Source organism: Homo sapiens, chromosome 7 (genome assembly GCF_000001405.40).
Source record: "Homo sapiens chromosome 7, GRCh38.p14 Primary Assembly".
In the NCBI taxonomy this organism is placed as follows: domain Eukaryota; kingdom Metazoa; phylum Chordata; class Mammalia; order Primates; family Hominidae; genus Homo; species Homo sapiens.
Window position 1 is genome coordinate 123,647,422 of NC_000007.14, and position 27,122 is coordinate 123,674,543.

Genomic DNA, 27,122 nt, shown 5'->3' on the forward strand with positions numbered 1-27,122 from the left:
GGAAAGAAGCAAGTCTACTTTGGGAAAGGGCTGTTATCATCTTTGTTTTAAGCTATAAACTAAGTTTCTCCCAAAATTAGTTCATGCTACACCCAAGAATGAACAAGGACAGCTTGGAGGTTAGAAGAAAGATGGAGTCAGTTAAGTTAGATCTCTTTCACTGCCTCAATCATAATTTTGCAAAGGCGGTTTCATTATGATCTCTGATGTTAATGCTGGCCAGTTGTGCCTAAACTCCAAAACGGAGAGGGTTTAATGAGGTGTGTCTGACCACCTTCCCATCGTGGCCAAAATTCAGTTTTTCAGGTTTCTCTGAGGTCCCCTTGGCCCAAAGCGCTGTCTGTTCAATAGAATGGAGCGGGGGGGAGGTGCTTAGGATCTTATTTTTGGTTTACAACATGATTTCAATGTTTCCTCACCAGCAAACTGAGGACAACTTAAATAAGAAAGGCATCCATGAAAGGGACAAAAATGCCACTACGAGATATGAGCACTTAGTGGCCAGTTGGGCTCACTCATTAGATTGGGGGACATACTCAAAGGCAGACTGACCATGAAGAGTGAGTTTCAGGTCCTTGTGAGTGCTGGGGTTTCCAGGATTAGTAGAGAGCTCTTGGTGGGGAGAAAAGCCAGGTTACAATGAAGTGGCATTACTCTGAAAGCATTTCTAATAAACTCCTTAAAGGCATCAAAGAAGAAAGAAGTCTAAATCACCTAAGACCCAGTACTTTATCATGATTTCTATTATTGTTTTAAATACATTTTCACTTTTATAACTAATTTTGTATTTATAATTTTATATTATTAAAGAGGTTCCCAACATTGTATAATTCTTGGGCTCTATAACACTGGATTTACCCTTGCCTACTCTCCAACTCATTTGTTTTGTATTGTTTGTTTTGCTTTCTCTCTCTCTCTGTGTGTGTGTGTGTGTGTGTGTATGTTTAATTACTTCCTGAACTCTTAATAATTATGCTAGCCCCTGAGGAGGGCAAATGGGGCAGACATGGTTTCTTCCTCAGAGAAAAGGCCTTTCCAGCGAAGACCTATTTGAAACAGGTAATCCCAACTGGGATATTGCCATGAATGTCTTGTGGGGGCTGGGAAAACTAAGCTGGCTTCAGACATCAGGAAAGACCTTCCTGAGGAAGTGTTACTTAAGACCTGAGTAAAGTAGAAGAGGCAAAGGCTTTCCAGGCAAAGAAAGGAGCAGTGCAATGGCTTGGGGATGAAGGGTGTGTGGACAATTCAGCCCAAAGTGGCTCAAGTGTGAGAGTCGGAAGAAGTGGCCCAAGTTGAAGCTGGAGAGGTGAGTAGGGCTTGATGCTGGAAGAGCCAGAGCCTGCAGTTGAAGGTTCTGCCTGAAGGACAATGGAAACCATTTGGGGGTTTTAGCCAGGGAATTAGTTGATAAGATTTGTGTTTTAAAAGGTTAACTCTGGCTGCATTATGGTAAAGGGGAAAGAATCATGCAGCAATGTACCAGGGAGACTGCTAGTCCATCATGACCATCATCCAAGAAAATGAGGACAGCAGCTTAGATTCAAGCAGGGGGAACAGCAAGAAATGAAGTAAGATTCAAGAGCTGTTTAAAATATAAGAGCTCAGGCCTTCCAAAGGAATATAATGATGTTGGTGAAGGCAGGAGACAAAGGTAGAACATAGACTGCAGCACATGGTGGATGAGGATACTGTTTTCAGAAATGTGGAAGCTGATTACCTGAGCGACAAAATTATCCATACACCAAACCCCTGCAACATGCAATTTACCCATGCAGCAAACCTGAATATGTACCCCTTGAACCTAAAATAAAAGTTGGAAAGAAAAAAAAAGTGACAACAGAAATGAAATAAGGAAAAAAGAAAAGAAACATAGAAGGCTGGAAGAGTGGGTGAGGAAAGTATAAAGGGAAATTAAAACACTGGTTTGGGGCAGGTTGAGTTTTAGCTACCAGTGATATACTCAGATGGAGATTCCCTCCCTCCTTCCCTCCCTCCCTTCGTTCGTTCCTTCCTTCCTTCCTTCCTTCCTTCCTTCCTTCCTTCCTTCCTTCCTTCCTCCTATCACTGAAATACACATATTAAATCTGTGAGTGATAAAATCCTATAGTAGGCCAGGTGTGGTGGCTCACATCTATAATCCCAACACTTTGGGAGGCTGAGGTGAGTGGATCACTAGAGGCCAGGAGTTCGAGACCAGTCAACATGGCAAAACCCTGTCTCTACTAAAAATACAAAAATTAGTCGGTGTGGTGGTGGGCGCCTATAATCCCAGCTACTTGGGAGGCTGAGGCAGGAGAATCAGTTGAACCTGGGAGGCAGAGGCTGCGGTGAGCTGAGATAGTGCCACTGCATTCCAACTTGGGCTACAGAGCGAGATTCTGTCTCAAAAAATAAAATAAAATAAAAATACAAGCCTATAGTAGAATAAAGCAGAGGATCAGTGGAAATGAGGATTTTAATTAAATATGAAATATATATTATATATGATATATAAATATTATATATAATTAATAATTAAATATATTTGTATAATATATTCACTTAACTCTTTGGTGGATATAAATAGTAATGCCTAAACAAATATTTTAAAATAGGAATAGTTTCTGAAATTACCAAATTCTTCTCGAAATTTGGGGATTAATAAAGTATGAAAACAAACAATTGGTAGGGCCTTGCAACGCTTCTAAACAGTAGCTGCCACAAAAACATAAGCCACAAGCAAAGTGACTCATCTGTAGGAAGTGGGAGTCTCCTTCCATAGAGACTGTTAGGCTGAAGTAGGAATTAGATACATGTATATTTAGGAGCTCTCTCTGATCACCCTATAAATACTAATTGTGGAAACACCAGATCTACTGGCAGGTCTGGTATTGCTGATTTTTGGAGGAACTGGTGAGTTTTTGCCACTCTCTTGTTGAGTCTTTATTAAATCAGGACACTTGCTAAGGTGAACAGTGTCCTTGTTAGGCAGCTACGGCTATGGATGATGCTACGGGATAATGTTACGTCTACCTAACACTAGATGGTAATAAAGTCCAAAACTCTTTGACATGGCCTAGAAAGCCCTTCAAATAAAGAAATATTCAACATGTATAAGCACCTACCATGTGAAGGGCATGATACTGGTGGCTATTAGGAGTGGGGAGGGGTAGATACCAAAGCCATTTTTAAAAAGTAGTACCTGAATCAGGGCCAGTTTCTGCCTCATCTCCACCTATTCCACCTAGCCAAACAGTCTGGTTTTTGTTTTTGTTTTCATACTCCTGTGCATTTGCCCAGAGGCTGCTCTTTCAGCCTGGAAAGCTCTATCTGATTCTGTACTTTCTCTGACTCCACTCACATAGGCTATATTGCTTCTTTATCTGTGCCCCATGGTTCTTCCCTCCCTGGCGCCTGGCTAGAGGCATCACTGCACTGTGTTATTGTCAGCTGTCTGCCTCTCTCCCAGGAGTATGAACTCCTTGAGGGCAGAGACTAGATCAATTTCCATTTTCTGTTTATAATCCCAGCTTCCAGCACAGACTTGTTCCACAGAACGTAGTTGGTAAATGTGAGTTGAATAAACAAACCAACAAACAGATGATAGTATTTTCAGGAGGAAAACAAAAGGAAAAAAAGTTGAAAGGGGAAGCTCTGTTTTCACTAAAAAGGGAATTGCCAATATATTGGGAGATAGTATGTATCTGAGTGTATCTGAATATATCTCATTGGGAAGCCAGAACTATGAAAAAATTCTATCCCAAGGCAGATTTTTTTAAACAAAAAATGTTAATCGTCAAAAGGCTTGGAGTATTATTGACTGTAAAAACAATTCTATCCAAAAAGATAATGCAACCAAGTAAAAATCTCAAAATACAAAATGGTGATGCTTGGAACATATAGTGACTGGATTTTTTCAATGTAGACAAAGTTCCAAAGAAAACTAAATTATTCACCATATTTAATTCTAGTCAGGGTCAGGCGGGTAGTGTTTGATCACTCAGCAGAATTGTATCCAGGAGATTTAAAGTTTGTGAAGGATACTTACAGGGGGAACCAAGAAGTATCCAACCTATTTGAACCAACTCATAAGATCATTCGTGAGTTGTGATTATTATCATAATCGGAGTGATTTGTAACAAATATACTAGGATATCTAAATGACTATTGTTTTTAAGGCAGTGTCTTTGAGAGGCCATAATGGCTTTTTCCAGTGATGCTGCCACACAGCAAAAACACACACAAAAACGAACAAACAAAAGGCATTAAGCCTTCCCTTTTGGAGCCATTTTCAGAGTCACTCATGGGACACATAAGATTTGGGAAAAGAAATCCATGTGAGATGATATTTATTCTGGGTTGTTCCAATGAGAAAATTTAAAATATGTGGATTTTTCAAGAGACTAGTTTCAAAGCAATAAAAGTAATTTTCTGAGGATTTGAGTCATCCAACAATGAAATAAGCTTTTGAAAATGTGCTATTTTCACTAAAGATGTTCAAGCAAACACTAGATGATCACAAATAGAAGTGATACAAAATTCATGTATTTCAAAGTCCTTTTGAAATCTGAGAATCTGTGATTCTAAAATATCTGAATACTAAATGTATATTATAGTTTGCATGTATCGAGCCCAGGTCTGTGTTCAAATGTTACCTTACTACAGAGATCTTCCCAGATGAAATATTACCCCCAAAATCTTCCTTCCATTTTACCCTGCTCTATTTTTCTCCATAGAACTTCTCTCTAATGTGTTCTATATTTACATGTTTGTCTAGATATTGTCTGTCTCTCCCATCTAGAATGTAAGCTCTGTGGAGGAAGGAACTTCGTTGATTTTGTTCACTTCTCTAAGCCAAGCAACTAAATTAGAATCTGGCATGTAATATGTGTTTAGTCAATTGTCCAATAAAACTTAGCAAAAAAAGGATGTTACTGAACAATTACAAACATGAGAGAGATAGGGTAAAACACAATTCCAGTGTTTCTTCGCACATATTTATATACCCTAAAACTCGCACAGTAGTCAACCTATCACATGTGGCCAATATGTATTGTTGAAAGAATGAACTCATGCTATCATTTATATGTCTTTTCTTCTTTTTTTCCCAAAAGCACACAGATTTTTACATGGCTGTAATCCTTATTCATCTTTTCACCTAAATTGTGGTACTAGAGCTGAATGACTCATCTCATGCATCAGATTTGGCTATCATGACTTGATGTCATTGCCAAAAATCAAACCCATTCAAATAAAAAAGATGGGCCCTTGCTGAGCTGAGGTTACACAAAAGCATATGCTACAGGCTGTAAAAAAAAAAACAAAAAAACAAAAAAACAAAAACAAAAAACAAAAAAAACACACAAATGAACTCATTATTTCTAATTCAATCATTATCTCTCTCATTAGCATCACTGAAAAGTGTCAGTTATTTTTGGAGTAGAATATCATAACAAGTTAAGATCAAAATAGCTAGCCAAAACATTCTCACAAGAGAGCAAAGTCAGATAGACTTATACACATTCTGATTTCAAAACTTATTATAAAGCTACAATAATTAAGACCATGTGATTTTGCATAAGGATAGATATATAGATTTATAGAACAGACTTGACTGTCTAGAAATAAACCCATGTATTTACGGTCAGTTAATTTTCCACAAAGGTTCCAAGGTAATTCAATAGAGGAAAGTATAGTTTTTTTCAACAAATGGTGCTAGGACAATTGAATATCTGTGTGCAAAAAGATAAATTTGGGCCAAGTGTTGTCACTCACGCCTGCAGTCCCAGCACTTTGGGAGGCCACGGTGGGGGCAGCATTTGAGTCCATGAGTTTGAAACCAACCACCTGGGCAACATGGCAAAACAGTGTCCCTACAAAAAATAAAAAAAAAAAAGATTAACTGGGCGTGGTTGCTTGCTGTCTCTAGTCCCAGCTACTCCGAAGGCCGAGGTGGGAGGATCACCCAAGCCCAAAAGATAAGAGGCTACAGTGAGCTATGATGGTGCCATTACACTCCAGCCTGGGCAACAGAGTCAGACTCCGCCTAAAAAAAATAAAAATAAAAAAGATGAATATATAACTTTACCTTACATATACACATAAATAAGTCAAAATGGGTAGGAAATCTAAATAAAACTAAAACTATACAACTTTCACAATAAAATATGAGTAAATCTCTGTGGCCTTGGGTTGGAAAAAAATTTTCTTTTTTTTTTAATGAGACAGAGTCTCGCTGTCACCCAGGCTGGAGGGCAGTGGTGCCATCTTGGCTCACTGCAGCCTCGGCTTCCTGGGTTCAAACCATTATCCCACCTCAGCCTCCTAAGTAGCTGGGTTTATAGGCATCTGTCACCATGCTCAGCTAATTTTTGTATGTTTACTAGAGACAGGGTTTTGCCATGTTGGCCAGGCTGGTCTCAAACTCCTGGGCTCAAGTGATCTGCCCACCTCAGCCTTCCAAAGTGTTGGAATTACAGGCGTGAGCCACCGTGCATGGCCAGAAAAAGATTTCTTAACTATAACACCAAGCAATACAACAAAAAAATTGATAAATTGGTCTTGGACTTCACCAAAATTTAAAAAGTTTGCTCTTCAAAATGAATCAAAAGACAAGCCCCAGAATAGAAAAAAAAAGTCATATACCTAATAAAATATTTGTCTCCAGCACATATAAAGATTCTTACAACTCAATAATAAGGAGACAATTAACCCAATTTTAAAATGGGCATAAGCAAGAGATTGAGGCTGCAGTGAGCTATGATCACTCCACTGCACTCCAGCCTGGGTGACCGAGCAAGACCCTGTCTCAAAAAGTTGTTTAAAAAAGGGGGAGGTAAGATTTGAATAAATATTTCACCAAAGAAGATATAAGGTGGCCAATAAACACATGAAATGATGAACATCTTACTAGGGAAATGAAAATTAAAACTATCATTTGACACCCTCTAAAATGACTATAATAGAAAGACAAGCAATAATAGGTGAGGATGTCGAGAAACCGGAACTCTCATTCATTGCTGATGGGAATGTAAATTGGTACAGCCGTTTCGGAAAACAGTTTTTTACAGTTTCTTAAAAAGTAAATTTACCATATAACCCAGTAATTCTGCTCCTACATATCTACTCAAAATAAATGAAAACCTGAGGTTACTCAAACACTTGCATGTAAATGTTCATAGAAACTTTATTCATAGATAAAAGGTAGAAACCCAAAGCTAGAAACAACCCAAATATTCACCAGCTGCTGAAGGTATAATCAGAATATCATGTACTATACATGTATTGATAAATGTATTTTTGTATGCATTAATATTTTTAATAGATTTTACATATCTATAAAATGGTGTTATATTTATGGAGTCCTATAAACTATGGATTTATTTTAACATATACACAACAATATGCTCATATATAATTTCTTTTTTTAATTTGTGCAAATGTATGGAGTACATAAGAAAATTTGTTGTATATATATAATATGTAGTGATTAAGTCATATATATAATTTCAAATTAGCATCTCTTCCATTTTCAGGCCAGATACAAATCTGGGCTCAGATTCTAGCTCTCTCACTTCTTAGCTCTGTGCTCCCATGCTAGTAACTTAACCTCTCTGAGTGTGTACTAGTTAAGTACAGGCACTAATGTACACCTTACAGGACTGTAGAATTAAAGGAGATAATGCTTAACACTGGAATGGCATAATGTCAGTCCTTAATAAATCATATCCAGTATTATTATTTGTATTTTTCGAGTTTCATTTGCAAGTCTAGATTTTTACTAGTAATCATGGTGAGTAGGAAGAAGCATTTCGTTCAGTGGAGAAAGACACCTCTCTGTACTTTCAGCTCTCCAACTTCTGACGTTTCACTTAATCTCTGAGAGCCTCAGTTGCCAACATCTATAAATGAGAATCATGTTATTCATCTCACAGTATTTATGATTAGAAAAACTTATTGAAGTGCTTTGTAAACTGCAAAGTAGGATAAAATTATGAAATACTATATTATTATGACCTTTTGTCCCCATCAATACCACCTACAGTATGTTTATAGAAGAACCAAAATAACTACCCATGGAGTATTGTGGAGACATTTCTCAACCCTAAGATTATAATGAAAGAATCTTTTCATGGCCATGGAGGTGGTGGCAAGTCATTTTCAAAATAAATTTTATTTCCCTGTTGTTTGAATACAAAGTGAGAAGAACTGTGTTACTCCTTATCTGAAACACTCTGCCTGTCCTCATGAGCTATCAGACTCAGCTAAATATGGCCCTGGCCAGTATGTTAATAATCCCCACTGGTTCTGAGACCTCCATCCACCACCGATGTGACATTCTTTGTGTTCAAATGTCTAGCTGACGTCTGATGCTTAAAACAGCCCATGCCTTCACCCCTCTCTGCATTGTCACAGCCCTGTATCACCACTCTTAAAAGGCTCCCACAGCCACTCCTAGCACCAGTTGTTGACCAGCCTGCCACTTGCCTCCCTGCCTGCTTCTGGCCGCCTTGAATGCCTGGTCCTTCAAGCTCCTTCTGGGTCTGACAAAGCAGGGACCATGTCTACCTTTGGCTACCGAAGAGGACTCAGTAAATACGAATCCATCGACGAGGATGAACTCCTCGCCTCCCTGTCAGCCGAGGAGCTGAAGGAGCTAGAGAGAGAGTTGGAAGACATTGAACCTGACCGCAACCTTCCCGTGGGGCTAAGGCAAAAGAGCCTGACAGAGAAAACCCCCACAGGGACATTCAGCAGAGAGGCACTGATGGCCTATTGGGAAAAGGAGTCCCAAAAACTCTTGGAGAAGGAGAGGCTGGGGGAATGTGGAAAGGTAGGCTCTCGGGACTTTTCCTTGGCTAACCCCACCTCCCCATCACCCCATCCCAAACCCAGACACTTGTTTTCCCTAACTTCTCAATCCTCATCACTTGAATTTTCCTATAACCCATTTATACTTGCTACTAAATCATTTTTCAGGCTGAAATAATCATGTAAATGCTATGGCCACCCAATGGATCATAATATGTAAAATTCTTAATTGGGGCTCTTTGATTGATTACAAATAGAAAGCTCAAGAGGAAAATAATTCACAATCAGTGTATGGGATTCAATATTTTGCCAAACATAAGTGTTGTTTGAGCTATATGTTGGTAATGTGGCATAATATTTGTTCCCAAGATACATGCATACGTATAAATGTATACTTTTTTTTCAGTTAAGTACATTTATTTTCTCCTATAAAGACAAAAGTGGGAACGCTGGTTGCTTTGACTGTGATAGTAGCTATGGTGAAATAGTTCTTTTCCAATACCAAGAAGTGTGGGGTGGTGGGAAGTACATGACACTGAGAGTCACAGGGCCTTGTTATGAGTCCCTGCTCTGTTCCCACATCTTTAGACCTTGAACAATCACTTTTACAGGGTTCTCTTTCCCTCTGGACATTGAGGGAGTTAGAGACAGTGTTTCTTTTGCGAATCAAGAACCCCTTTGAGATTTTGATAAGTTATGAACCTTCTTAAGAAAATAGCCCTGGGCTTGTGCAAAATACACCAACTTTTGCATAGAATTTCAAAATGATAACACATCCTGAAACCCATCTGAGGACTCAGGGGCAGCACAGCTGTATAGATGATCTCTTCGATTTCTGTCTCCTTTACGATGGTGATCCTGAGGTTAGGAAATGTGCTTATATCAGAGCTCAGGCCTATAAAGCTCTTGTGTACTGCCCAGTAAACAGTTATTTTGAATTTGCCAAATGAGTCAATACCAGAAGGAAGTCCAAAAGACTATTATTCTCTGGGAAAACAGTAATGACAATAAAGTGTCCATATAACAAAAAAAAAATTCTTCCGGAATTATGGAAGAACATAGGTCAGGAGAAACAGTTTAAAACCCTTGCACTCTGTTGGAATCATCTAAAATCAAAATGGCCTAAAGCCAATGGCAAGACTTCCACAGTACTAATCTAGGGCTGTTAGATGATCTTGATGATAGGGTTATCTTGGCCACAATTGCAGCAAGATATGTGTGAGTTTTGTCCACGTCAATCATTGCAGGAAGGGCCACTGGGATCTGGCCAGGGTCTGCCAAGGCCACAGTACTAATCAGCTAGAAGGGGTGTGTTAGAAGGAAGGACACATACAAGTCAGTACTTGGGCAGGTCAATTCCTCCACAACCATTGTTTTAAGAGGGATTTTTTTTTCTTTGATGTGATAATGAGCATCAAAATAACAATGACATTATCATCACAATTATTTAAAACTCTCTTTAATAAAATAAAACTGGCTGGGTATGCTGGCTCACGCCTATAATTCCCACACTTTTTTGGGAGGCTGAGGCAGGAGAATCACTTGAGCCTAGGAGTTCAAATCCAGCTCTGGCAATATAGTGAGATCTCATCTCTACAAAAAAAAAAAAAAAAAAAAAAAATTAGCTGGGTTTAGTGGAACATTAGCAGGTGGTAGTCCCAGCTGCTCAGGAGGCTGAGGTGGGAGGTTGGCTTCAGCATGGGAGGTTGAGGCTGCAGTGAGCTATGGTTGTGCCACTGCACTCAGCCTGAGCCACAAACCAAAACCTTGTCTCATTAAAAAAAAAAAAAAAAAAAAAGAATAAAACTGTCTCAGAATATCCAGGCTGTACAACCAATGTATCAATAATCCAACAAAGGCTTTTTAATGTCACAATGACATGATAGTGGTGGGAACCAAAGAGCAAAACCTATCGTCAGCCGGACGAACCCACCTGATCCTGCCAAAGGTTTTGCTGATCCCTGCCAATGGCTTATCAGCTCAATTAGAGAGGCTGCTGTGTTGATGGACTTCGGTTCCTTTCTAGGCTATTAACTTTTTCTCCCAGTACTTTCCCTGCTGGCCAGCTGTCTGTAGTTGCCAGGCATGATGAGCAGGAACTTGCTGATGGAGGGTGCAAATCCAATTCCCACAACAGGGAAAATCTTCGAGCAGCTGTTGGGTGGCTGGGGGAGCAAGGTAGTTGCGTAAGTGAAGAGCCATAAAGGAAGGACCCTGAGAAGGAGCGGAGGGTCTTGATTGATTATCAGGCGGCTGGCTCTGTAAAGGCTTATAAAAAGCAGATGCAACACCTGTTGAATGCCAGCCTTTCTGCCCACTTGGGCTTACACAAACTTATGCCGCATTGGGGCTCCCAGGGACCCTAGAATCCCAATGGTCTAGCTCCCCTATTGAGCAGTGGTTAAATCTCAGCACAGGTGCCAATGAGTTTCTCCCATTATCTCACTTCATTTTTAACTTTCTGCACTTGAGAACTGAGACAAGGCAAGGTTAAGAAACTCATTAGAGGTTAAGAGCTTGTACATAGAAGTGAAAATTAAAGAACATTTCAAAATTGTGGGTGCCCGGTCAGCAGCATCAGCATTACCTGGGATCTTCTTGGAACTGCAAATTATAGAGTTCCCGTCAATCTGATGAATGATAAACTCTGGGGATGGGGCCCAACAATTGGTGCTCTCACAGGTGATTATGACACACAGTAAAACTTAAGAACCGCTCAACTACAGTTACCTCCTGAATAACATGGGGGTCAGGTGAACCAACTCCTGCCCCTGCAGCATCCAAAATTCATGTATAACTTTTGACTCCCCCAAACCTTAACTACTAATAGCCTACTGTGGACAGAAGCCTTACCAATAACATAAACGGTCAATTAACACATACTTTGAATGTGATATGTACATACATAATAGGGAGGTGATCAGGAGAAACAACCGGCCACTCTTCTCATTACCTGATTTGTTTTCTAAGTTTACTAACATTCCCCTTCTCCTTGTCCAGTCCCTTGCCATCTCATCTCCCACCTCCTTATTCTATACCCTCCTTCCCACCTCCATTCTCCAAAGAATCAGGGTTAATGCCAAAGCAGTGGCATATAGGAAATCTGTAATAAAACAGGCCCCCTAGGGACAGAGTATTTTATAAAGTAAGCGAAGTCTGTTTTTTGCATCCTCTCACCTTGCCTCTGTAGACACCTTTTCCCCTTCTGTTCTTTCTCCAGATGTCCCCCACCTAGGGTGACTAATCATCTCAGATTGTCCGGAACTATCTAGATTTCATGACTAAAATCCTGGGAAACCCTTCACACTCAGGCAAACTGGGAGGGTTTATCACCTTTCTCCTGTGTGTAGTCCTGACTCTCAGCTGCTGTTAACCAATGTCAACTTAGAGCCATTCAGTAAGCAAATAATTATTGAGCTCCTACTACATGCTAAGCACTGTGCTAGGTGAGCAAAGCAGACATGGTCCACTGCTCTCAACAGCTAACAGTCTGCTGGGAAAAACAAGTGACCAAAATAAAGTGCGACAGGTACTTTATTGGGGGTGGGTACAATGGTATGGGAATGCGTCTGAGGGATATTTGGAGAGGATGTCAAAGAAGGCTTTCTGGGAGATCTATCATTTAGATGCTATATGACAATTCACAGTTTCAGATATTATCTGTCCAGGTACATTATAAGGGGAAAACAGATCTTGCAGATAGAGCCAGAGGGTCTTTAAAAAACCAAAGGGAGTAAAATGTAATGGTGTCATACAAGGCCGTATACCTTGGATTTTGAGACAGGCCCCTTTCCTCCAAATACTGAAACAGCTAAAAATACATACAAACACATGAACACACACAGCTTTACAGGGACTAGAATTATAAGGAATTTGGAGTGGAATGGGGTGAGGAGAAGTCAGCCCACAATTCTTTCCTTCCTCGGGTTAATCCATTTGTTTCACTGCTGGACAGGGAAGGCTTCCTCTCTTCCCTCACGTATGCCTGGAGACTTGGCTAGAGCCACACTCTTTTTCTTATGTTGTTGCATTGTGACTTGCAGCCAGCTGCCACCAAACATTTCTCTCTCTTTCTCTCTCTCTCTCTCTCTCCCTCTCTCTCTCTCTCTCACACACACACACACACACAGAGACACACAGAGTATCTCTCTCTCTCCCTCCCTGCTCCTGAAGAAGTGAATAAATTAAGACTGGAAAAGTCATCCCAGGAGTGGCTGACCCCTTCCCCAGGCCATCACTCGGTGCCTGCCACTCCAAACAGTGGATAACTGGAGGCTATTTTGTGATAGCAACTGGGCAAACGAACCTGGAGACAAGGGCAGTGTTTTCCAAAGCTAGATCTACATGCTTCAGGCAGCGGGCGCCCTCGAGGTCAAAAAAAAAAAAGTTGCCAATATAGAGAGAAGAATCAGGGCCTGGAGGACAGGGCAGGGTCCCAGGGCTGTAGAGAAGATAAAGAGAAAGGACTAAAAAGACAGCAGGAGAAAAAGATTAGACTCTGTCAGCAATTTCTAGACCTTTTTTTTTTTTAATCAGAAAAGATAGCAAGAAAAAGAGAAACAAGGGGTCACTTGAGCGTCTTTGTACAGCAAATCTTGTAAACAGGAAAGACAAAGATAGAATGAAATTGTGTTTGCCTGAAAGCCTTTCATAATTGATACATGCTAAATAATTTAAGACCTTCAGGCTGGGCAATGGCTTACTTCAAGATTTTCTGCTGTTCTCTGCTGTTCCATCCACTTTACTGATTAGAATCTAGTGGATGCCAAGGGTGATTATCTTTCCCACCTGGTCTTCTACAGTCTGTCTCATTTAACCCTGGACTAGTTGGAGGTTTCAAGTTGATTTTCCCAAAAGGGTGACCTGAATGTTTTCTCTGCATCGAACTGGATTTTGACCTCCTGCTGTCCTGAGCAGCAGCCCTGCCTTTAGGCTTCCCTTGCCCAGATAAGGGACAGCTACAGAGGCAGCTCTCAGGTGATTCAGAGAGTCTTCTGTGGTAGAGCCCTGTGCCGGGCTCTACCGTAGAAGCAGATAAATAAATGCTGGAGGAGCAAATGACAGCTCTGCTTCTGTCTACACTGAGGCAAGGCCTGGCAGAGAGTGGTTGGCTTCTGTCACATCTGCTATGGATGGAAAATTTGGGAATTTTTGAATTAAAAAGGGAAACTCATTAACATATTGTATATTTTTGTTGTCATTTGATTGCTTGAGATGGAGAAATAAGAAAGAACAGAGTGATTCCAGAAGGGAGGGTTGAATTTGCTACATTGTAAGTAAATGGAGAGTAAACCAGTAAGAGTCGGTCCTCAGGAGGTGAACAAATTTATCAAGGGTTTTCCAAAGCTGAAGTTCTGATTTATTTGTTCAAATTAGCAAAATGATTATATATTTTTATTCAATAAGTTGAATTCTGGATATTCTGCAGAAAACAAGAGAAATGTTTGTAGAAAAAGCTATTGCTATTTATTGCAATAAAATGTCAGCCTTGGTCATGAGAACTAGACAGAATGGAAGCAGAGGATTATTAACTTTTTTTATTATAAACTTATGTCACTTGCCATGTGCTACTTTTGCAAGTTAAAAAATGTACTTAAAAATGGTATCATTTTTAAGAAGCTTAATGATGATATCATACTCTTTAGGTTGCAGAAGACAAAGAGGAAAGTGAAGAAGAGCTTATCTTTACTGAAAGTAACAGTGAGGTTTCTGAGGAAGTGTATACAGAGGAGGAGGAGGAGGAGTCCCAGGAGGAAGAGGAGGAAGAAGACAGTGACGAAGAGGAAAGAACAATTGAAACTGCAAAAGGGATTAATGGAACTGTAAATTATGATAGTGTCAATTCTGACAACTCTAAGCCAAAGATATTTAAAAGTCAAATAGAGAACATAAATTTGACCAATGGCAGCAATGGGAGGAACACAGAGTCCCCAGCTGCCATTCACCCTTGTGGAAATCCTACAGTGATTGAGGACGCTTTGGACAAGATTAAAAGCAATGACCCTGACACCACAGAAGTCAATTTGAACAACATTGAGAACATCACAACACAGACCCTTACCCGCTTTGCTGAAGCCCTCAAGGACAACACTGTGGTGAAGACGTTCAGTCTGGCCAACACGCATGCCGACGACAGTGCAGCCATGGCCATTGCAGAGATGCTCAAAGTCAATGAGCACATCACCAACGTAAACGTCGAGTCCAACTTCATAACGGGAAAGGGGATCCTGGCCATCATGAGAGCTCTCCAGCACAACACGGTGCTCACGGAGCTGCGTTTCCATAACCAGAGGCACATCATGGGCAGCCAGGTGGAAATGGAGATTGTCAAGCTGCTGAAGGAGAACACGACGCTGCTGAGGCTGGGATACCATTTTGAACTCCCAGGACCAAGAATGAGCATGACGAGCATTTTGACAAGAAATATGGATAAACAGAGGCAAAAACGTTTGCAGGAGCAAAAACAGCAGGAGGGATACGATGGAGGACCCAATCTTAGGACCAAAGTCTGGCAAAGAGGAACACCTAGCTCTTCACCTTATGTATCTCCCAGGCACTCACCCTGGTCATCCCCAAAACTCCCCAAAAAAGTCCAGACTGTGAGGAGCCGTCCTCTGTCTCCTGTGGCCACACCTCCTCCTCCTCCCCCTCCTCCTCCTCCTCCCCCTCCTTCTTCCCAAAGGCTGCCACCACCTCCTCCTCCTCCCCCTCCTCCACTCCCAGAGAAAAAGCTCATTACCAGAAACATTGCAGAAGTCATCAAACAACAGGAGAGTGCCCAACGGGCATTACAAAATGGACAAAAAAAGAAAAAAGGGAAAAAGGTCAAGAAACAGCCAAACAGTATTCTAAAGGAAATAAAAAATTCTCTGAGGTCAGTGCAAGAGAAGAAAATGGAAGACAGTTCCCGACCTTCTACCCCACAGAGATCAGCTCATGAGAATCTCATGGAAGCAATTCGGGGAAGCAGCATAAAACAGCTAAAGCGGGTAAGTAACCAGAGAACAGACATAGGGGCACAGATAAAGTAAATGAGTTGTCCTCCATTGCATGGTGGTACCAAAGTCACCTCTCACAATACTTATCAATACTTTCAATATTTTAGTATGCGAGAGCAAACACACCAAGTTTGAAACATTAGGAGCAGGCACACAAGTGAGCACATTTCTATTTGAGAGGAACGCCTGGGCCGCTTTCCCAGCCTCTCAATCATATAAGGGCAAGGACCATTTTCATACACGTCCCAATTCCCTTAAGAAGAAAACCAGGGAATATAATCTAAATTCCAAAAGGATTCACCACTTGTCAAAAATTTTACCACAGAGTTGTGACTGATTCGATACCTAATTTATAACATAAAATTTATAATGTGGTAAAAAAATTACCATGCAGCAATAATCAACCTGAGTTCTTCTCAGAGGATACTGCTAGAGACATATCCTACAGATATTTTTCACTTATCATGTGTGTTGTTTCATTGAGAGAAAATCCGCTATTTTTGTAGGTGGAAGTTCCAGAAGCCCTGCGATAAAAACATGATCTTTAGAAGAGGATGCAGAACTGTTCAGTGGTATTACATGAAATGCATTGTGAGATGTTTCTAAAATACCTTCTTCAATTCAAAATGATCCCTGACTTTAAAAATAATCTCACCCATTAATTCCAAAGAGAATCTTAAGAAACAATCAGCATGTTTCTTCTGTAAATATGAAAATAAATTTCTTTTTTATGTCGTGAGATTTGTATTGGCAAGAAGCAGTTAATTTAAAGATGCTCTTCCTATCTGTGGATGTGTTGGTAACTCCGAGTTGTAATGAGTTCATGAAATGTGCTGTTATTTTTGTAATCTCAATAAATGTGGATTGAAGTTTTTTCCCTTTTTTTAAAGCCAAACTAATATTTTTCTGTGACTTGATACATCTGTCAGATTTTTGTAATCTCGATAAATGTGTATTGAAGTTTTTTCCCTTTTTTTAAAAAGCCAAACTAATATTTTTCTGTGAGTTAATACATCTGTCAGGTGTGTATGTAACATTACTGGACATTAAAAAAAAATATTACATTCTCACCCAAAAAGGGTTTGGGTCCTAAGCATTTGCCTTTCTTTGTTTCCTCTTGTTCAAGAAAATCTGATTAGATCTCTTTCTAAAGGACTGCAAGCAATAATTTTTTTTTATATTTTATTTATTTATTTATTTTTTTGAGACAAGTCTTGCTCTGTTACCCAGACTGGAGTACAGTGGCACAATCATAACTCACTGCAGCCTCAAACTCCTTGGCTCCACTGATCCTTCTGCCTCAGCCTCTGGAGTCCCTAGGACTACAGGCATGCACCACCACGCCTGTCTAACAATTTCATTTTTTTGTAAAGACGGGGTCTCACTGTGTTGCCTAGACTGGTTTCCAACTCCTGGGCTCAAGAGATCCTCCCACCTGGGGCTCCCAAAGCACCGGGATTATAGGCGTGAGCTAGCGTGCCCAGTAAGAACTTTCTTCAAAGTGAGATAAAACGTTGCAAAAAGATCATCAATGTGATCATTATCATCTTAGATTCATTGATGCTAGACCCAGGATGGTAGCTGATGCTTCCATATTTCCAGAAGTACCATAGGTACCCAGATGTTGATTCAATCATTTATTATAAAAATGAATGATCTCTGGAAGGAATAAAATTGAAAAGAAGTTTCTTGGTAGGAAGGAAATAAGTGCTAGAGGAATGCTGGAAGGTAAGACCCCTAAATTCAAAGCTACCTTTTGGCTGATGCTAAGGATGGACCATTCAAGTCTCTCTTTGAGCTCTCCTTGGATAAGCCTTAGTCTAGTGGGTCTCTACACAAATCACGATGATGCTAACATTCACAAAATAGACATGGGGACATGGAGCACATGCATTTTTTCCAGCTATCCTTCTACTCCTGTCGCTCAAGAAGTGTCTGAATTCAAATAAGAGAAAGACATATTGAATTACCTTTACTTCACTCTAGTGCTCCACTCTAATTTATGAAAGTTATAAATCCCTCTAAAGTCCTTTGTATTAACTATGATTAGCGATGTATCCTTTGTGTCCTACAGATTATAACAGTGATCTTGGCAAACTCTCTGAGTCACCCAATAAGTAATTGTTTGCTTCATATACAGAGCTTTGGATTATCTCCAATCAAGAGGATTGTGTTTCACTAGAAAATCTCTCCCATAGTCCTTCGGCCTGGCTCTTTGAGTCTGTTTCTGCTGTTCAGCCATTCTTTTACAGAATAACAACTGACATAATCACTTAAAAAGGATCCCAGTGGCCCATGAGCTAGTTGGTGCCCTGATTCCATGTGAGGGAAGGGAGGTGACTGATATTTTCTGAACTAAGTTGTCTCATGTTTTCACAACAACATTAAAAGGTGCCATTGCAATTTTATAGTTGAGTAAACCGAGGTACAGAGAGGGTAAGGCTGGTGTCTCTGACTGTAAAGCTCATGCTCCTTCCGTGTCACTGCACCTCTCTTCTTCCACCCAGACTTAGCCTCCCAAGGTTTGCTGTTCTTAGAACAGTGGAGATCTTCATTTCCCTTGGTAGAGACTTCACTATTTTCACCTCATGGTCACAATTACATTCATTCTTGTTCAAGGAAATAAAAGGTAAAATGTACGTTTTTAAAAGGCATTTATGTGTGCAGGTGTGTGAATTTAGAACAGAAAGCCAAGGCAGGCCTTCCCTTCCTCTGACCCTTGTGTGTGCATGAAGACAGGGCTCTTCTAAGTCAAAGGGTTGTGAGAGGTGAACAGCTTCCACCTCCAGTCTGATGAGGCAGAGGAGCAAAAGTTTGCTGATAAACTGGGTCATTGATTAAACCATGCAGAGATCCCAGGAGCGGAGTGTGGCAGCCCTCCTGAATAAAGAGGAAAAGGCTAGCATGAGTATTACCAGGAGCTGGTTGGGCTGGGGAGACTGGCCAAGCCTTCTCACCAGAAGCAAGTGATAAGGAGACATGTTTTCTCCTTTGCATTTTAACAGGCTGCCTTGCTGTGGCTTTCTGTGCCTTAAGAGAGAGCAACATGTACTTACTACAGACTTCACAAAGTTTAAGTGAAGATACAGGCTCTCACATCAATCTAAGAAACAAAGTTATAAAGCATATAATAAGACAAGTATAATACGGTCAGATTCTAAGTGGGCACATTTATCATTATGAAAAAAGCATTTCTAGAATGTGTTATTTCAGAATCCAGTACTGTAAACATGCAAAATATTATGATGATCATTATTCAGCACAGAACAGGGATCCTGGTCCATCCTCCCTGGAAACTCATAGAGCTGATATGAAAACTAATTAGTTCATCCTCTATAAAGAGCTTTCAACTCACTGGGAGAGAGACTGTCCAAGACCAGATGAAGTGTTTAGGCTCTGATTAATGTGGGCATGTTAATCTCAGAAAGTACAGCTCAGTACAGCTCATCCTGATTTGAAACAGGGCCAGGATGCTGAGTCCCCCTGCTTCATGAGCCCTGCTGCCACAGGTATTTAATAACTCGGTGTCAGCAGGATCTTGATTTAATACCTGCCCTGAGACTGTTACTACCACAGGGTGAAAGGAAGAGGTAATTACAGGCTGCAATGTCTCTATGCAGATGCACTAAAGACAGGGGTAAATCAATATGCTCTTGAAAATATCTCATAACTACTTCCTTTCTCGACATAGTTAAAGCTGCCTCTTCCTTGTTTCTCTGAAGCTCTTAAGGTGGACTTTTATTTCCATAAATTGCCAAATGTATGATATAAAAGACTACAAGTTGATCTAAAACTTACAAAACTCAGAAATATGGCACCAATATTGGTGCACTTAACATCACAAATATTTTCTGACTGCCTGCTGTGTTCCAGATATCTTCCAAACACTGGAGGTAAACAGTGAGCAAAGGCAATAGAACCCCTGTCCTCATGTAACTTACATTCTAGTGTAAGGAGGAAGCTTACACTACTCCTTCATGCATTCTGCATTTATATATCAAGTGGCTTCTATGGACAGGGCACTCTCCTCCAGGCTTGGGAGACCAAGCTGAATTAGAAAGTGTCTTCTACCTCAGAGCAGTGGGAATTTTAAGGAAAGCAACACTTCCAGAAGAGTAAAAATTTTCTTAGTTCACAGGCTGTACAAAAATAGGTGTTGGATGGCTTCAGCCTGTGAACCACATTTTATCATAGATCCCTGACCTACAGCAGACTCTGGATCAAGGAAAGCTTCGCCAAGAATGTGACACTACCAGAATTTTTTTTTTTTTTTTTTGAGATGGAGTCTCGCTCTGTCGCCCAGGCTGGAGTGCAGTGGTGCAATCTCGGTTCACTGCAAGCTCCGCCTCCCGGGTTCAAGCCATCCTCCTGCCTCAGCCTCCTGAGTAGCTGGGACTACAGGCACCCACCACCATGCCTCGCTAATTTTTTTTTTTTTTTAAAGTAGAGATGGGGTTTCACCGTGTTAGCCAGGATGGTCTTCATCTCCTGACCTCGTGATCTGCCCACCTCGGCCTCCCAAAGTGCTGGGAGTACAGGCGTGAGCCACTGCACCCGGCCGACACTATCAGAATTTTTAAACAATAAAGTCACCAGTCTGGGAAAAAAAAGTCTCACAGGTGTAGGGATTGGGAAAGACATTTCAATTTGAGGAAAAAGGCTAGTATAAAAAATGGTTGGAAACCATAGGATTTAATGTCATTCTGTAAAAAGCAATTTGGTAAAAAGTTAATATTTTAGTTTTTCTAGTATTGATAATTTTGGTGGACTAAGAATATAAATATTGTGTAGTTTCTGTATGGTCTTTTCTTTTTAGAACTAAAATGGTGTGTGATCATTAAGAAGGATCAGAACACACATATAAACAAAAGAACATAAAGAACCCCATTATCCCATCCACACAGAACAATTACTGATAACTCCTTAGTACATATCTTTTATTTAATTTTTTAATTTTTCTGAGACAGACTCTCGCTCTGTCACCCAGGCTGGAGTGCAGTGGTGCGATCTCGGCTCACTGCAACCTAGGCCTTCTAGGTTCAAGCGATTCTCATGCCTCAGGCTCCTAAGTAGCTGGGATTACAGGCATGCGTCACCATGCCTGGCTAATTTTTAAAATATTTTTAGTAGAGACGGGGTTTCTCCATGTTGGCCAGGGTGATCTGGAACTCCTGGCCTCAAGTGATCTGCCCGCCTTGGCCTCCCAAAGTGCTGGGATTACAGGCATGAGCCACTGTGCCTGGTCTAGTGCATCTTTAAAAATTCTTCTCAATACATATTTGAACACACACATAACTATTTTTTTCTTCAAAAAGAAGATAGTTTACATACCATTAAGATCCTATTTTATTTAAGCAATTTCAAGAACTGTTGGATATTTAGATTATTTTGATTAGCCCAGTCTCTGGTGTTATATATTTTGTTTGTCCCAGCTCTTCCCTTAGTATTTAGCTACTGTAACTTTTAACTTTTCCAAAAGCCCTTAGAAGAAATGATTTAGCTGTGACAAATCACAGCTAAAAAGCCATCTCCCAGATAGATTAGAGTGGTGTGGCATCATTGTGGTACACCAAAACTGGAAATTAGGTTTCAACTAAATTGTCATGTTTACCAAGTTTCTGTGAGACAAATTATATGACAATCTGAACCACAGAGCATGTATTTGTAAGATGCATTTTTAAAAGCCAGTACAATTTTATCTGAATAAGAAGGCTGATATGGGCTGAGTGTCACAGGAGTCTGTCCTGAGCAACTTAGTGTAAGCTAGGGAATGTGGACTTAATTATGAAAAGCCAAGAGGAGCATCAAAGGAGCTCAAGAGGAGAAGTGACATGTTATTTATATAGGTTTTAAAAATATGACTTCTGTAACCAATAGAAGAATGGATTCAGTGAGGCCTAGGCTGGTGGTGGTAAGACCAGTTAGGAGACCACTGTAATGATCTAAGAACGAAGTGATGCAGACTGAACGATGAACTCTGTGTAGGTGTGAAGAGGCTGGAACAGATAGAGCAGAGACTAGGAAAGCATAAACTCCCCAGAATTTGGTTACTAGTTAGCTATAGGGGGCGGGTTGGGGGAGGGGGTGAGCAACAAAAGAGAGGAGACTAGCATGACACTTGTATTCCTAGCTGGGCCATCTGGGTGGTCCAAAATGGCATAAAACGGAGTAGGAAATACAGCAGAAGCAGGTTTGGGAGGGAGAAAGATGAGTTTAATTTAAAACACATGGTGTCTGAGGTGCCTATCCATTTGAATGTGTGGGTCTAAAAACGTGGGGGTGGGATTTGCGCTGGAAGTAAGGATATGCGGGTCATGTGTTATGAATGGTATTTAAGGGTAGGGGTTTGGATAAGGTCACTCAGGAAGAGTGTGGAGAATGACAGAGGCTGAGTATGACCAGAGAGGGCAGAGATAAGCCAGTCATGTTGTAGAGCAGAGAGCTATATTACGAAAGGCGGGGTCAACGGCATAAAATGCCTCAGTGAGTCCTAGAGCTAGAAAGTGTTTACCTGAACATTGACCTTGGTGAGAGCAAGTTCATGGGACAGTGGAGGTGGAAATCAGATTGTAGGAGTGGTGTGGCACAACTCACCAAGACGAAGAGTGTAGTGCAGTCCTTCAAAAAGTGAGCACACTGCTCTGGTGGAGACTCAGAGGTTCCCCAAAGTCTCAGGATAAAAAAGGCACATCTTCTAGTATATTATTTGACTTGACATGAGAAAAAACATTTCTCATATAAAGGTATATAAACTTATATCTAAGATCCAAATAAAGTCAACTGAAAACTTAATTCTCTCCATGACAGCTCAAAGTGTTATGCAAGATTTCTGAGAATTCCTGGATGGAGGGGTGGGGGCTGGAGTCTTGCATGCAATTCCTGGATGGAGGAGTGGGGGCTGGAGGCTTGTATGCTCATGGTCCTCTTTGGTTTCATACTCTAAGCATGCATCTTGCAAACTCATGATTAATGCCACTATTCCAAACTACATTGACCACATCAGCCCTCATGCTTAACTTCCATAGACTCAACACAGCATGAAATTTTGGGAAATGAAGATGAGGTTGAGATTACAGCAACATAAACAACTTCAAATTGAGTATTAGATGCCCTATGACGAAAAATCCTCTGGCTAACACCACCAGAAATTTATTCCCACTGGCTATTTTGTTTTCTTGTTGGTTTATCCCTTCTTTCCTCTTCTCATGATTCTGCTTCATTACCACTCTCCTAGATTACTCTTGAGAATCCCAAATTCTTTCACTCTTTTATGTACTGCAAGTTCAGCTCTCTCCACCCTCCTCCCAAAGGCAGCTCTAGCTCTACCGCTGCATACCCAAATGGGTCAATATGACCAGCAGGTACATCTTTTATTTAATAGAAGCCACTCCAAAGTTGTAGTTGTGAAGAAAATTTTCTTCCCTTTGGAAAATGGTACATCTCCTTGGTCACCACAAAAACCCTTGCTAAGTCACTCATAATCTGTTATCTGGACTATTGCATCGCTGAGGATGCCTAACTGGTTTCTCCATCTTCATCCTTTTTTTTTTTTTTTTTTTTTTTGAGACAGGGTCTTGCTCTGTTACCCAGGCTGGAGTGCAGTGGCATGATCACGGCTCATTGCAACTTCGAATTCCTGGGCTTAAGTGATCCTCTTCACTCAGCCTCTCGAGTACTAAGGCTACAGGCATGCGACACCATGCCCAGATAATTTTTAAATTTTTTGTAGAGATGGGGGTCTCATTGTGTTGCCCAGGCTGGTCTCAAACTCCTAGACTCAATAAATCCTCCTGCCTTGGCCTCCCAAACTGCACTCCCAAATGAGTGCAGGTGTGAGCCACTGCACTTGGCCTCTGTCTCCATTTTTATTCACCGCCAATTTGTCTTCAACATGCCAGAGTGATATTTTTTCCAAAATTCGACTCCGATCACATCAGTCACCTGCTTAAAATTCTTTAATAGTAACCCATATTCTACAGAATAAAGTTCATATTCTTTAGCATGGTAAATATGATTCTTACCATTTTTCTGCCTCATCTTCCAATGCTTGTCCTCAGGTACCCTGTGCTTAAGCCATATTGAGTGACTTGTAGTTCACTGAATGAGTGATGGCCCCTCTTGACACACATCTTTACTTATATCATCTACCTGTTTGGAATTCACTTTTCACTCTCTACATCTGGTTAATACCTACTCATCTTCCAAAAAACACTTTGAAAGATGAGTATCCTATTGACCTAAGGAGATGGGGAAAAAGGCACGATTCAAAAGAGCCTTTGCTCTTCTCCACACTCTCCCTTAGGTGACCTTATCCAGGTCTCTATCTTGAAATACCATCATACCACATGACCCCCAAGTCTTTACTCCAGCACAAAATCTACCCCTACAATTCTAAACCCACACACCCAAATGGAAAAGCACCTCAGACACAATATATTTAAAATTGAACTCCTCCTCTTCTTCCAAAACCTTCTGCTATATCCCACAGTCCTGCATATCACTCACTGGACAGTCTTCTCTATCCCTATCCCTCCTGTCTTCCCACTGGACAGTTACCTGTCTTTGATTTCCACACACTCAGCATTGATGAGGAGTTTTAACAGAGCGCTTGCCACATGAGCTGTTTAGGGACAGTAGCCATGTCTGATCTCGTTAGTGCTCCAGGGCCAAATACATTTAATAAATGTTTGTTGAATAAATGAATGACTCCAAGAAAATGCACACCACTCACATGGTGGTTTTTATGATAATGGGATTTTGTATTTCTGATATTGTACAATGGCTACAATTTGCCTGATAGAAAATGCCTCTGGTTCATTCAACACCTTTAGTCAGCATGAAACTTGGCTCTTGCTCCTCAAACACCATACCAGCTTCCCCACCTTCTTGGTTTTGTTCACAGGGTCTCTTCAGTTCAGAATTTTCTTTTTAACATCTCCTTGGGTCAATAAGCTACTCATCTTTCAAGATTCACTCTTATAAAATTTACCTGTTCCATTCTTCCCTCTGAGTCTTCTTTATCCTTCCCTCAAACTTTTCTTTTGGTACCTACTATATTTTGCATTGCATTATACTATTTGTAGACGTGTCTTTTTTTTTTTTTTAAAGACTGAGTTTCGCTCTTGTTGCCTAGGCTGGAGTGCAATGGTGCAATCTTGGCTCACCACAACCTCCACCTCCCGGGTTCAAGCGATTCTCCTGCCTCAGCCTCCCGAGTAGCTGGGATTACAGGCATGTGCCACCACACTCAGCTAATTTTGTATTTTTTAAGTAGAGACAGGGTTTCTCCATGTTGGTCAGGCTGTTCTCGAACTCCTGACCTCAGGTGATACACCTGCCTCAGCCTCCCAAAGTGCTGGGATTACAGGCATGAGCCACTGCACCCGGCCACATGTCTTATCTTCCTACTATCCTACTGGATTGATATCCTGGGAATCAGGCACTATATCTTATGTTCGTGTCTTGAAACAGCAAGGTCTCAATACATATATTTGATTAGATGGAGATAATTAGCTACTCAACAATAGTGAAGTGACATCATGACAGTACCCTCTCACCACTCCTCCAGTGTGGTCAACAGTGGTATGGGATGCTTTTCCATTGTGCAATTACTAGATATTACATGAACAGTGCTGCTCAGCTATAAAGAAAATCCCAATCAGTCATCCCTTTTGGAACTTCATGATTGAAAATATTTTACTGTTGAAAACCACACAATTAGATGACATGTTGACATACTAAAATGTTTCCAAGCCAAAAAAGGAGGATAGGTGTTAAGTATTTTACCCTCAAACACTTTTAGTATATTACTGGACTCTGCGGTAACATGGTAAGTGCCCAAAGTGAACTCCTAGAATTGCTGTATTCCATGGCTTCTACCTTTTGAAGAAAGATACTGAGATCTATAGATCAATCTATGGATCAGTGGTGGGCAAGCCAGATAGAAACGCCCAAGTCAGAAAACCAACAGCCCACGTGGATGGTCAGATGTGGGTGGACATGCAATCAGCAAAGAGCAATTCTTGTTAGGCAGGACAGTCATTACCACCTGGCCCTTGTCGTAGTGGTGGTGATGGAGGTGGGTGGATGTGTGGGACATGTACCCATGGGGTCCAACCAGAGCAAGAAGTGACCCAGACTCTGGCAATGGGGCATAAGGCACTTGACTACCACCCTTGACAGGGCAGGACTAGGGCAAGGGAAGCTATACTGCAGATCTGAACTAAAGTACAGGCAGGGAGCTAAAGGAGTGGCTCAGAGGGGATGGTTGGAGTCCAGGAACAAGAGTACTAGTCACTGGTCCTGTTTGAACAGTTCAAAAGAAAATGGCCTAGAGCTCCTTATAGAAACAAGGCTCTCCCCAGTAGAGGTAGAGGGATTGGAAAATGATGCAACAGGAAAGGAACGTATCGAAGTCTTGTCTTGTGTGTAACAAATCACTTGTCTTCAATTTTGCTTTTACTTACAAATACTTATTTTGAATGCAAAATTTTTACATTGATCAAAAAGGATTGTGGTTGAGAAATGAGGTTCTAGAGGCAAGACTGGCCCCAAAAGTCTAGGACAGGGCAGGATCTATGCATGGAGGCTAAAGGGCTCCAAGGAGCATGTCACTAAAGAGCCGCCAACGTAGGCATTTCACTCTACCATCTCACTCTAACACTGGCACATTTTAGGGCCAGAGTTCTAAGAATATCTACATTCACTTGTGCTGACCCTCCTCCCTCAAAGACTCCACCCCTTTTCTATGTGAGATCTGGCGGCAGAGGTCAGGCTGTGTAGTCAGGAATTGCTGTGCAGGCTTCAGTTGGGAGGGTGTTTGGGAAAGTTAAGGGTTGACAACTGGAAAATGCAAGTCTGGTTTCTCTAAATAAACTATTCAGAGGTGAAATTATAATCTTTAAAACCTTAACTCTTTCAGTTCATTAGACAAATTTGCAATCTAAAGCTGAGGGTTTCATTTAGATATATCTGTTTGTACACTGACAATGCTGCATGAATTTTCAGATGACTAATCACTTGTTCCAGATTGAAACACTGTGTGATTAGCTGTATAGCCTTTAGAACAAGTTAAACAGTTTGTTAGCAACACAACTTTTTTTTAAGCCATATATTTAGAATGTTTTAAAAATTAGGCATGTTATTGAAATGTATACCAATCTTCTCACATCAAAAACTGTAGTCACTAGCACTAACTGCTAAATGTCTCTTTCTCCCTAAATAGAATCTCAGAAGATCCACTAATCACTGTTACATAAACACAAAAACAAATGATCTAAAGTCACTCTCAGGTTACAGTTTGCAAGTTGTCCTTCCTGAATTTATCGTGAA

General features: G+C 40.8%; 1 protein-coding gene across 1 annotated transcript; it reads left to right on the forward strand.

Moving 5' to 3' along the window:
• Window positions 1–8,444: 8,444 nt before the first annotated feature.
• Window positions 8,445–16,869, forward strand: LMOD2 (leiomodin 2). The gene is made up of 3 exons (NM_207163.3): window positions 8,445–8,815; window positions 14,439–15,782; window positions 16,298–16,869. The coding sequence occupies exons 1-3, from the start codon at window positions 8,543–8,545 to the stop codon at window positions 16,322–16,324; spliced, it is 1,644 nt and encodes a 547-aa protein (NP_997046.1). The 5' UTR covers window positions 8,445–8,542; the 3' UTR covers window positions 16,325–16,869.
• The last annotated feature ends 10,253 nt before the right edge of the window (window positions 16,870–27,122 follow it).

Excerpts from the sequence above, each read along its gene's own strand:
- LMOD2 (NM_207163.3), top strand. The coding sequence starts at position 8,543 with ATGTCTACCTTTGGCTACCGAAGAGGACTCAGTAAATACGAATCCATC. Across the intron at positions 8,816-14,438 it reads GGCTGGGGGAATGTGGAAAG|GTTGCAGAAGACAAAGAGGA; the intron begins GTAGGCTCTCGG and ends CATACTCTTTAG. Across the intron at positions 15,783-16,297 it reads GCATAAAACAGCTAAAGCGG|GTGGAAGTTCCAGAAGCCCT; the intron begins GTAAGTAACCAG and ends CTATTTTTGTAG.